At 38.4% G+C, this 12,347-nt stretch overlaps 1 protein-coding gene across 16 annotated transcripts in view; it reads right to left on the minus strand.

Annotated features, from left to right (window-relative positions):
- ARFGEF1 (ARF guanine nucleotide exchange factor 1) overlaps positions 1-12,347 on the minus strand; it is a 170,271-nt gene that overhangs the window by 38,593 nt on the left and 119,331 nt on the right. For 11 of the 16 annotated variants that reach the window (NR_182117.1, NM_001413187.1, NM_001413184.1 and 8 more), the window contains 4 exons: positions 7,328-7,457; positions 5,900-6,035; positions 5,679-5,817; positions 4,487-4,559 (listed from right to left, as the gene is read on the minus strand). Coding sequence is in view for 15 of the 16 variants with exons in the window: in NM_001413187.1 (NP_001400116.1) it covers positions 4,487-4,559; positions 5,679-5,817; positions 5,900-6,035; positions 7,328-7,457 (478 nt within the window). In the remaining variant the exon portion in view is untranslated. The remainder of the gene's footprint in view (positions 1-4,486; positions 4,560-5,678; positions 5,818-5,899; positions 6,036-7,327; positions 7,458-12,347) is intronic. The other 5 variants (NM_001413186.1, NM_001413185.1, NM_001413192.1 and 2 more) reach the window with 1 other exon arrangement.

Here is a 12,347-nt window from a genome sequence, read left to right on the forward strand (position 1 = left end):
TGGAGTTTTGCTCTTGTTGCCCAGGCTGGAGTGCAATGGCGCGATCTCGGCTCACCGTGACCTCTACCTCCTGGGTTCAAGCGATTCTCCTGCCTCAGCCTCCCCAGCAGCTGGGATTATAGGCATGCACCACCATGCCCGGCTCATTTTGTATTTTTAGTAGAGAGGGGGTTTTCACCGTGTTGGTCATGCTGGTCTCCAACTCCCGACCTCAGGTGATCTGCCTGCCTCGGCCTCCCAAAGTGCTGGGATTACAGGCGTGAGCCACCACGCCCAGCCACAGGTTCCAGTATTATTAAGAGTGTAACCTTGGAAAAATGATTAATTTCCTGAGGTGAGGTTTTCTGATCTAAAAAGAAATGATATACTTTCCTTGCAGGTTGTTAAGAACTAGATATAATAAATCCAAAACACTAGCAGCACAGTGTTGGGCAATAAATGGCAGCTGACCCTACTCCTCCTCGAGCTTTCTTTCATTATAAAGGCACAGCACACTCAAGACATGAGAGAACCTGGTTTCAGGAGGAGTGCTTAGCTTTTGTTATTCTGACGTAACAGTCCCAGCCTGAGCAACCTTACCTGCTGTGTGAAAGGAAGATGGGCCTGTGTTACCAGAAATAGTAATAATCAAAACAATACGTTAGCTTGGACTTAAGTGTATTTTAAGGAAGAAATTACTCAGTTCTCAGAATTAAAAATGTATTATCTTACTGAAGATAAATGAAAGCACTGGTTTTTAAATATTTTTGGTCACGGGCCCTCTTGAACAGTCTGATGATTTCTAAAATGTTCTCTCCAGAAAACTAAACCTACACAAAAACTAGGTCAAAAAATTAGGGATTTAAAAACCTTGCTCTGTATTAGAGGAATTTTTGGATGTTAGGTATATTGTTTTCTCAATTTTTCTCACTAACCAATGTAAATGAGGATAATTTTTGGGATGTCCTAAGTAATAGTGGGTTCTATTCTGAATGGACGTCAGCACAACAGAGTCATGGAGCAACACGGGCCCAGCATAGATGTCACAGTTCTCAAGGGCAATTCAGAATGATACTTTTCTGTGAAATCTAAGTTTTAACCGTTGACAATTTGTTAAGAAAGTTAAAAGTTGTGGGGAACAAATCTGGTCAGTTGGCGTTAGTTTGCTACTTTACAGCCTCCTGGCTTTAAAATTCAAAGGTATTATTGGGAGAACAGTACAAATTTGAAAAGACCTGTAGATTAAATAAGAGTATTGTTTCAAGGATAATTTTTTGATTGTTAGGGATAAGTGGGCATTGTGTTTACAAATTACTTCCAAAGAATTCAGAAAATTGTGTGTCTGGGAGGCAGGGTAGCAAGATAAAAAGAGGGAGGACAGCTGGGGTTGGTAAAAACAAATGTAAAATGACAACATTTGGAGAAACCTGGTGTAATGATTACTTTTGTGTCAATTTGGCTAGGACACAATACCAATATCCTATGTACTTAAGCCAGATACTTAAGTCGAAGGAGTAACAATTAATTCAATTAAACACTATTCCAGGTGTTCAGCTGAAGGTATTTTATACATGTGGTTAACATCTATAGTCAGCTCACTTTTTAAGGAAATTATCTTCAATAATCTAGATGGTCCTTATCCAATCAGTTGAAAGCCTTCAAAACTGAGCAAAACAGGTTTTCCTGGGGAAGAAATCCCGCCTGTGAACTGCAGCTTCAGCAGCAGCCCAAGGCTTTCCAGCCTGCCTGCCTGCCCTACAAAATTTCAAACCTGCCAGCCTCCACAATCACGTAAGCCAGTTCCTTAAATCTATCTATACAAATCTCTCCTGCTGGTTTTGTTTTGCTGGCCCTGATAAAGATTTTGATACCATGAAATGGAATGTGGCTGTAACAAACACCTAAAAATGTAGAAGTGGCTTTGGAACTGGGCAATGGTAGAAGCTGGAAGAGTTCTGAGACACATGATAGGGAAACACCTACATTGCCCTGAAGAGACTGTTGGTAGAAATATGGATGTCAAATGTAGTTCTGGTGAGGATCCACAAGGAAGTGCAATGTGTGAGAGAAAGCATCTACCATCTTAGAGAAGACATGTATGGCCATGAAACAGATTATTGGTACAAATATGAATGTTAAAAGGTGCTTCTGGTGAGGTCTTAGAAGGAAATCAAGAACATGATATTAGATACTGATAGGTGATCCTTGTTGTAAAGTGGCAGAAAGCTTGGCTGAATTGTTGGGTGGAAAGCAGAATTCTAAGTGATGATATGTAGTTGAGATTTCCAAGCAAAGTGCTGAAGGTGTGGCCTGGTTTATCCTTGCTGTTTATAGTACAATGCAAGAAGAAGATATATTGATGAAAGAACTGTTAAGCAAAAAGAAACTGCCAGTTGATGATGTGAGAGGATCTTGTGCCTATCGAGATTGAAAACGATGCTACAATTAGGAAATGAATTGTTAGGAAAGCATGCTTTGGAGAGAAGGCCAAGGCTATAATAGCTGGACAACTTTTTGCCAAAGAGATTAGGTATATATCTAGTGGAGCCAATCGATCATCTCAGCAGAAGCCAGGAACATAACAGGACTATCCAGAAAGATGTGTGGATCACACTCTTGTTTAATGGCATGGTTTCTCTTAACACATACAGAAGACCCACAAGGATTTTGAGAATGATATACCAGCAGACATATGGCCAGCCTAGAATGAAAGGGACAGAAACAATAAGAGGAAGGGAGGCTGAATTCTAGGATTCTACAGGCAGAAAATGGGTCAACAGAGCTACAAACGTGCTAACCTTTAAGAAAAAGAAGAACAACTGAGAGTGTAGGGCTCAGGCCCGAAGAAGCCAGCCATAGCCCCAGAGGGCAGAATATCAAGCCACACAGCATTATTCTCAGGCCTTAAAACTCAACGGAATTGTCCCTGCTAAGTTTCAACCTTGCTTAGGACTGGTGATCCTTTGTTCCTTCCAATTTCTCCTTTTTGCAATGAGATCGTATATCTTATGCTTGTCCCACTACTGTATTTTAAAAGTTACAAACCTGTTTTCTAGGTTCACAGGTCCACAGATGGAGACGAATTCTGCCCCAGAATAGAGCATACTCAAGAGTGTCATCCATCCTTAATGCAGATGCGGATGATCAGATTAGGGACTTTTGATTATATTTATAAGGGATTTTGGACATAGTGTTGATGCTGTAATGAGTTTAGACTTTTGGGGACCTTAGAATGGGGTGACCATCTTTTGCCGATGGGATGGACATGAATTTTTAGGTGTCAGTGGGTAGACCATAGTGGCATGAATATTGTCCCCTAAAAAGTATGTTCAAGTCCTGACCCCTGATACCTGCAAATGTTACCTTACTTGGAAATAAGGTCTTTTCAGATGTAATTAACGATCTTGAGATGAGATCATCCTGGATTTCAGGTAAACCCTAAATCCAATGACTAATGTCTTCATAAAACAAAAAGGAGAGGGAGAGATTTAATTCACACACAGTGAGGGAGACTATGGATAGATGGTGGCAGAGATTGGAGTGATATGTGAACAAGCCAAATAATGCCAAAGGTTGTCAACAGCCGCCAGAAGCTGGACGAAGCTAGTAAGGATTCTCCCTTAGAGCCTTTGGAGGGAATGTGGCCCTGCTAACTCCTTGATTTAGGACCCATGGTCTTTAGAACCATGAGATAGTAGGTTTCTATAGTTTTAAGCCACCAAGTTTGTGGTAATTTTTTATGGTAGAACTAGGAAACCAATACACTGGGTGAAGTGAATGTTAGAATTCTTTGTACTGTTTTGTGTTACTTTTCTATAAGGTGAAATTATATAAAAATAAAAAGTTTAAATACTATCCAACAATATCTTCAGCTTTGCATGGAGACAGCTACGTAATCTGGTACCTTTCTCTCACAACCCTTAAAAAATCATTTTGTTCTATGTCCTATATTTAAAAATAATTTAAAATACTCCCTTCATGGCACTTAACAAAGACACATATTAATTGTCTGTGACATTGACCAAAGAATTAACTTCACAATTCTGGACAGTAAATTTATACCATCTTCTTAAAAGAGTCAAACGCATTGCAATGATATGAATGTTTGCATTCCCTCCTAAATTCATAATAAAACTTAATCCCCAATGCAACAGTATCAAGAGGTAGAGATTTTAGGAGGTGAGTAGGCCATGAGAATTAGTGCCTTAAAAAAGGACTGGAGGGAACTAGCTAGGCCCCTTTCTGTCCCTCCTCCTTCCACCACGTGAGAATGCAGCAACGTGGTGCCATCTTGGAAGCAGAGAGCAGCTCTCACCAGACACTTGATCATACAATTCCCAGCCTTCGTAATTGTAAAAAAAAAATGTCTATTTATAAGTAATCCAGTCTCAGATATTTTTTTAATAGCAGGAATGGATTAAGACAATTACATGTAAGAATTTGACCCATAATAAAATTACTCATCACAAATAACTAATTTCAATATACTTTACTGATTAAAACTTACCAATGGCTTTTCACTTACAGGAGATGGAGGTGGGGGGGCAGTTTCTCCAGAATTGGGTCGCCAGGTCAACAGCCTTTAAGATACCAAAACCACGTCAATCACTAGGGGGCTGTGCCACATGCCACATCCAGCATATTTTGAAATGGGCCCAAGAAAGTAACAAGAACATACCAACTAAACAGTCCATCTTTGACCACTGCTAATTTTAGCAATTTCCTAAAAAACATCTAGTAAAAAGTTTAAAATATGTACTTTTAGAAAAAAATTAAGTGGCATTTAATATAATTAAAAGGGTAATATGGTCACCAGTTTTGCATTAAAAGAACACTTTCTGATAAGTTTTAAAGATTTCAGACCTCCTTTCCCTAAGTATTAATATCAAATATTTTCCAAAGTAAGAGGCTTCTCAAAAAAAAAAAAAAATCATAAAATTGGCCAGGCGCGGTGGCTCACGCCTGTAATCCCAGCACTTTGGGAGGCCAAGGTGGGCGGATCACCCGAGGTTGGGAGTTTGAGACCAGCCTGACCAACGTGGAGAAACCCCATCTCAACTAAAAATACAAAATTAGCCAGGCATGGTGGTGCATGCCTGTAATCCTAGCTACTTGGGAGGCTAAGGCAGGATAATCACTTGAACCCAAGAGGCGGAGGTTGTGGTGAGCCGAGATTGCGCCAATGCACTCCAGCCTGGTAAACATGAACGAAACTCCATCTCAAAAAAAAAAAAAAAAACCTACCTCACTATAATTCCATTTCACACTCATCCCTTAGAGAAAGATGACAAGCTGTTACGAAATACGAAATATAGTATGTGTAAATACATTTTCCTTAGATTATTAAAAGATCAGTAACAGAAACAGGCTGAGATTTTTTTTTTTCCAATTCAAAACCACTGCTTGGTTTGATCTGAATAAATAAAATCTTATAAAAGTCAGCAGAATCACTTCATTATGTCCCAAATTTTGGTAACCAGACTAAAGGTTTTGGTTTATAAATAGTTTAATTTATGTATTTGTTATAGTTTATAGCAGTTTGGTTTGTAATAAATCTAAATCCATGTAAGAGTAAGACAAGCTTAAAAGGATTTCTGTTATGAGAAATCAGTAGTCACTATCAAACTTTTAATCACTAGTCACTCTCCAACTCATTCAATATACAAATATAAATGTAAAGTTGTATAAAATCTTCTTACGCATGTGGGATTGTGGTTTTGAAGATATCCAGTGTGCAGTTGCAAGTTTTATCCCAGATTTCTAGGGTAAATTTTTCACCATTCAGAATAACAACATTCTCTAAACAGTTTGTACCAGATCGCGCTAACTGCTCATTGTCTAGGAAAGAAAAGAGCAATTCATTTATATATTACCAGGGTCACATTTAACACTTTGTGTCACATATCTGGTACAGACCTACCTTGCTGCACACACCAGTAGAGCTGAGCAAAAATGTCATCCAAAAGTACATCACTGAGTACTTCTAAATACTGAGTGAATACATCACAGATTGCATAAAGTGCATGATTGCAAGTTGTTGTCATCCATTCAGCTTTCTGGGGAAAAAAGTCATTAATGAACATCACGCCATTAATCAACTACTATGATTAAAAAAAAAAAAAAAAATATATATATATATATATATATATATAAATGTTTTCATATTAAAAATGGAAGGCTGTCAGTGTTCCTTTTAGACCCCTGAATTCCCTCTAGAACGTTATATTCACCTCAACTTAAAATCTGATATCTATTGCTCCTTATTATCCCATAACCACCTATGTATACAATAATTTAACCATTTTTGGCACTGCTTGTTTTGATTATTAAAAAAAACCATCACCGTATCATCTTGATACTAACATTATGATTTTTCGAAGTGCATGAATAGCAACGCCGGCCTTGCTCTAGAATATGACAGAACATGAAAGGGAAATAAAGAGGTAAGAATTTGTCCAAATGGGATTAGCATAGGTTTAAAATAAAAATGACTTTCCTGAAGTATGGTTATCTGAAAACACCATAAAAAAAGGGCTATACAACGTAAGTGTAATTTATTTTTTTCAAGCCCATAAAAAATAATTGCAGAAGTCTGCATTTAATACTGCTGTATGGAACAAAAGGGGAAAATATGAAGCTCTCTTGACACATTTCCTAAAATGTATATTGTAACTGGTTCATAGTAAAATATGTTGAAATAAATAAAATTTACTTTGTATTCTTTACTCAATATAAAAAAGAAGTCACTATATAATACTAAAGAAAGTTACTGATGTTTTATAGTTGTAACTATCAAAATGAGGAAAAGAAACGAAAAAGTCAGAAAAACACTGAAAACAAAACAGAACAAAAAAATCAATTCATCAATTCAGTTCTATCCCCCACACAGTGTTCTTTTTTTTTGAGATGGAGTTTTGCTCGTCGCCCAGGCTGCAGTGCAGTGGCGCGATCTCAGCTCACAGCAACCTCCACCTCCCGGGTTCAAACAATTCTCCTGCCTCAGCCTCCCAAGTAGCTGGGACTACAGGTACCTGCCACCACACCCGGATAATTTTTGTATTTTTAGTAGAGATGGGGTTTCACCATGTTGGCCAGGCTGGTCTCAAACCCCTGACCTGAGATGATCCACCCGCCTTGGCCTCCCAAAGTGCTGGGATTACAGGCGTGAGCCACTGCGCCCAGCCAGTGTTCTTATTTATAAAGACATAGTATTACATTCTCATGCCTTAAAGAAAAATTTTCTAGGAATTCTTTTCTGTACTTAATTTGAAACACTAAAATGTATTGATTATAATACTGAGAATCTTTTAACTTGACTAAGCTAAATGAAAATTGTGTATCCTCTTACCTCTGTCTGTTGTTCTGGCAATTTCATATTGTCAAAGATTCTGAAAACAATTCTAAATAAATCCTGCCACCAGTGTTTCTCATAAGTGTGGCCATATGTTTTCATTATTTCAAACATTACTGTTAAACCCCTAAAATGACAAAACACAATTAGAAAGCTGTAATACAAAAAAGCATACTTCTCCTAAAATAGTTTTTAGAGTTCACAAAGCAGTTAAAAACAGAAAGCTTAAAACTAGTCTGAAATTAACACATGACACTGGGTTTTAAAAAATTTAAGTTGTAAGAACAACAGGTTCCTTTAGGATACATCATTCGGGAAAAAAAATCTCCAAAGGTCTTGGCTGTAAACTTTTTTATTTTACTTTTCCTTTACTCTTACCTCACCAATGCAGCATTTAAAAAACTGTAAATGGAATTACAAATTGAAAAGGATAACCGTTTGAGTGAATATTAATTTTGTGGCACTGTAGCCAAAAAAGAAAATACATATACAGCAGTCTAAGAACAAAACAAAAGTTAGATTTTGGAAAATCTTTTTCAAATGGGGATTTTTACCCAATACTAGAAGCCTTATTCATGCAACATCCCTAAACAAAAGGATTTACAAAAAAAAGCCACTAAGGCATAAGCTCCATGAGGGGAGGGGTCTGTGTTTATTTCTTGCTATATCCCAGGCACACAGCAGTGCTTATTGCCTGGGAGGCAAGCAATAAATATTTGCTGAATAAATTGCTTAGTATCAGATGGACTAGCTTTTGAGTAAGTGTTAAAACTGAAACTCAAAACTTCCGTCTTCATTCCTTACTGTTTCTTGAAATAATACTTTTATGTAACCATTAGACACTTTTAATCTTTTCTCTATTTGTTGCTTTTTCTGGGAAAATACAGGCATCCTCCAGTTTAGAAATGGCTTATATTTCCAAAAGTTTGAGAGTAAAACAGAACAAAATTTTCTTTGAAAGGCTCTCATAAGGACTGGAACAGAGCTCAACTCATTTGCTGCTATGCTATCCCCAAACGTAGTAGATGGCTCATACACAGTAGGTTCTCAACAAGATTTTGTTAAAGGATTGGGTAAAATAACATTACAATACTTCAGGCCAACAGTAAGTCCACATTGGTCTATTTGATCCCTAAGATACCTAATGTGTAATACTAGCAGTGGTAAAGAAACCATAGTAAAGAAACTCCCGGGAAAGAAAGTCTTCCACAGGAGACGCCTGTCAGAGTTCCACCACTGATGCTAAACCCATAGTTCCCTCCTTGCAATGGAACAAGGCTCCCTCGTCCTCCATCTGCTGAGCTCCGTATCTATTCCCTTCCACTCCAAGTAACTGGATGCTGCCTCTCATGGCTGGGAGTAAGTGGATATGGGCAATCCTGTTTTTTCCAGGGCCCAAAGTAAACACAAAGATCAATCGTTTCCAAGGATTTTTACTGTGGAAAATGTCTTTTTTTCCTTTTCTTTTTTTTTTTTTTTAAAGCCATACTTAAGTAGTTGGTATAGGGAAAAATAATACAGTCATGTGCCACGTAAGGACATTTCAGTCAACAATGAACTGCATATAAGACAGTGGTCCCCTAAGATTATAATAGAGCTATAAAGTTCCAATTGTCTTGTGACATTGTAGTTGAGGCTTTCACTGATTGTAGGGCAACACTTTACTCACATGTTTATGGTGATACTGGTGTAAACAAACCTACTGCACTGCCAGTCGTATAATGATAAACAATTATGTTAACAATTAATGTATTTACTATACTGCACCTCTCATCATTATTTGCTAGTGTACTCCTTATACTTACAAATTTTTAAAAAGTTAATTGGAAAACAGCCTCAAGCAGGTCCTTCAGTAGGTATTCAGGAAGAAGTCATTGTTATCATAGGAGATGACAGCTCCATATGTGTTACTTCCCCCTGAAGACCTTCCAATGGCGTAAGATGTGGGGATGGAAGACAGTGACACTGATGATCCTGACCCTGTGTAGGCCTAGGTTAATGTGTGTGTCTATGTCTTAGTTTTTAACAAAAAAGTCTAAAAAGTAAAAAATAAAAATAGAAATAGAAAAAAGCTTATAGAATAAGGATATAAAGAAAATACTTTTATATAGCTGTACAATGTGTTTTAAGCTAAGTGTTAATATAAGAGTCAAGTTTTTTAAAATTTTAAAAATTATAAAGCAAAAAAGTTACAGTAGGCTATGGTTAATTTTTTACTGCAGAAAAATATCTTCTCATAAATTTAAAGTAGCCTAAGTTTACAGTGTTTGCCTTTGCATTCACTCACCACTCACTCACTGAGTCACCCAGAACAATTTCCAGTCCGGCGAGTTCCAGTCATGGTAAGTGCCCTATATGGGTTTTTGTTGTTGCTTTTTTTTTTCTTTCTTTTTTTTTTGAGATGGAGTCTTGCTCTGTCGCCCAGGCTGGAGTGCAGTGGCATGATCTCTGCTCACTGCAAGCTCCACCTCCCAGGTTCAAGCCATTTTCCTGCCTCAGCCTCCCAAGTAGCTGGGACTACAGGTGCCCACCACCACGCCCGGCTAATTTTTGGTATTTTTAGTAGAGACGGGGTTTCACTGTGTTAGCCAGGATGGTCTCGATCTCCTTTCCTCGTGATCCGCCCACCTTGGCCTCCCAAAGTGCTGGGATTACAGGCGTGAGCCACCATGCATGCCCAGCCTACAGGTTTTATCTTTTATGCCATGTTTTTACTGTACCTTTTCCATGCATATATATATATATACACATATATATATATATATATATATACACACACATATATATATATGTATATGTATGTATGTATGTATGTATGTATGTATGTATGTATGTATTTTTTTTTTTTTTGAGACAGAGTCTTATACTGTCACCCTGGCTGGAGTGCAGTGGTGCCATCTTGGCTCACTGCAACCTCCGCCTCCTGGGTTCAAACAATTCTCATGCCTCACCTTCCCAAGTAGCTGGGATTACAGGTGTGCACCACCACACCCGGCTAATTTTTGTATTTGTATTTTTTAATTTTTATTTTTATTTTGAGACAGAGTCTCACTCTGTTGCCTGGGCTGGAGTAGAGTGGCACTCTCAGCTCACTGCAACCTCTACCTCCCAGGTTCAAGCGATTCTCCTGCCTCAGCCTCCTAAGTAGCTGCGATTACAGGTGCGCACCACCACGCCTCGCTAATTTTTGTATTTTTAGTAGAGAAGGGGTTTCACCACGTTGTCCAGGATGGTCTTGAACTCCTGACCTCAGATGATCCGCCCACCTGGGCCTCCCAAAGTGCTGGGATTATAGGTATGGCCACCATGCCTGGCCAAATTTTTGTATTTTTAGTAGAGATGGGGTTTCACCAGGTTGGCCAGGCTGGTCTCAAACTCCTGACATCAGGTGATCTGCCCACCTTGGCCTCCCAAAATGCTGAGATTACAGGCGTGAGCCACTGCACCCAGCCTGTTTAGATATGTTTAGATACACAAACACCACCGTATTAACAGCTGCCTACAGTACAGTAACATGCTGTGCAGGTTGTACCCAAGGAGCAATAGGCTATGCCATCTAGATTTGTGTAAGTACATGCTATGATGTTCACACAATGCTGAAATTGCCTACTAATGCATTGCAGAGAACATACTCCTGTCATTAAATGATGCCTGACTATATTTGGGACTTTAATTTTCGGTATTTATCCCCAAATCTAGAGAATTTTGGAAGAATTAAGTAAGAATGCACACAAGAAATTCTTTCTACACAGTGTTATACCAATTATAGTGCTGCACTATTTGTTGTTGTTAAAGACAGAGAGTCTCAATTTGTTGCCTAGGCTGGAGTACAGTGGTGTGATCAGGGCTCACCATAGCCCCAACCTCCTGTGCTTAGGCAATCCCGCCTCAGCCTCATGAGCAGCAGGAACTAGAGGCATGACCACCATGCCTAGTTAACTTTTTGTTCAAAGAGATGGGGTCTCACTATGTTGCCTAGGTTGGTTTCAAACAATCCTCCCACCTTGACATCCCAAAGTGCTGGGATTACAGATGTGAGCCATGGCATCCGGCCCACATTTTAAGATGGAAGCTAAATAGCAACCCATACATATCCTGGGATGAGGTAGGAAAATCAAAGGCCATCACTGAACAAAGTTTACTGATCTTTTCTCTCTCCTTTACTAACTAGAACACACACAACCTCTTTAACAACTGGAATCTACCCATAATCTGAACATGGAATATGGTGAGAAATAAGGTATCACAGTGCCAAGCAACAGAAGGCTAAGAAAGCAGGTGGATCCTCCATCAAACAGACTTCTACAAATAAATAAAGGGTGAGGGGAGAGGGTGCTGAGTTTTCATGACCTGCTAGTCATGATATGTCAGCCGCTCCACTGAGGCAGGTGGACAGCTGAAATGGGGCTATCTTGAATTTTAACAAGTTCCTAACAGGTCCACTGATAAACAATCCACCATGTCTAAATATAAAATAAAATGTTTTTCTATAGTGCTCTCATAATTAAAATCCCTAAGGGTTAAGTCCTATTTTGATTATCTATTTCATACGAATTTCTGTTGTAACAAATAATACTATAAAAATGAAAAATTTCTTGGGATATAAGTCAAATTTAACCTTGGTGGGGGATGGGGGTGGTTCTGGCATAAGGTGAGAAAAGAGAGATTCATTCTGTGCTACCTTTAGAAATTCAAAAAATTCGATAAAGTTACACATCCAAATAACAGAAGATTCTTCCAAATAAGATGGAAAGATTCCTAAAAGATTTTGTTTACCATAAAATTGAACTCACGGTGGGTTTAGAGGTTGACAGATATTAGGACACACAAGCTGGCCATTTCAATGTGGCAAAGTACAGGGTAAAAAAACTACTATGGGAATCATGTGAGCCGTGACCTAAGAACAGTGTGTTAGCATTTGGCCAGTTACATAATACCCATAATAGTTCCTTTACAGATTGACTATATGTTCATAATGATCTTTTATTGGCAATATACTTTTGAAAGAGTTCTATTT

This window comes from Homo sapiens, chromosome 8 (assembly GCF_000001405.40).
Source record: "Homo sapiens chromosome 8, GRCh38.p14 Primary Assembly".
NCBI classification, from domain to species: Eukaryota; Metazoa; Chordata; class Mammalia; order Primates; family Hominidae; genus Homo; species Homo sapiens.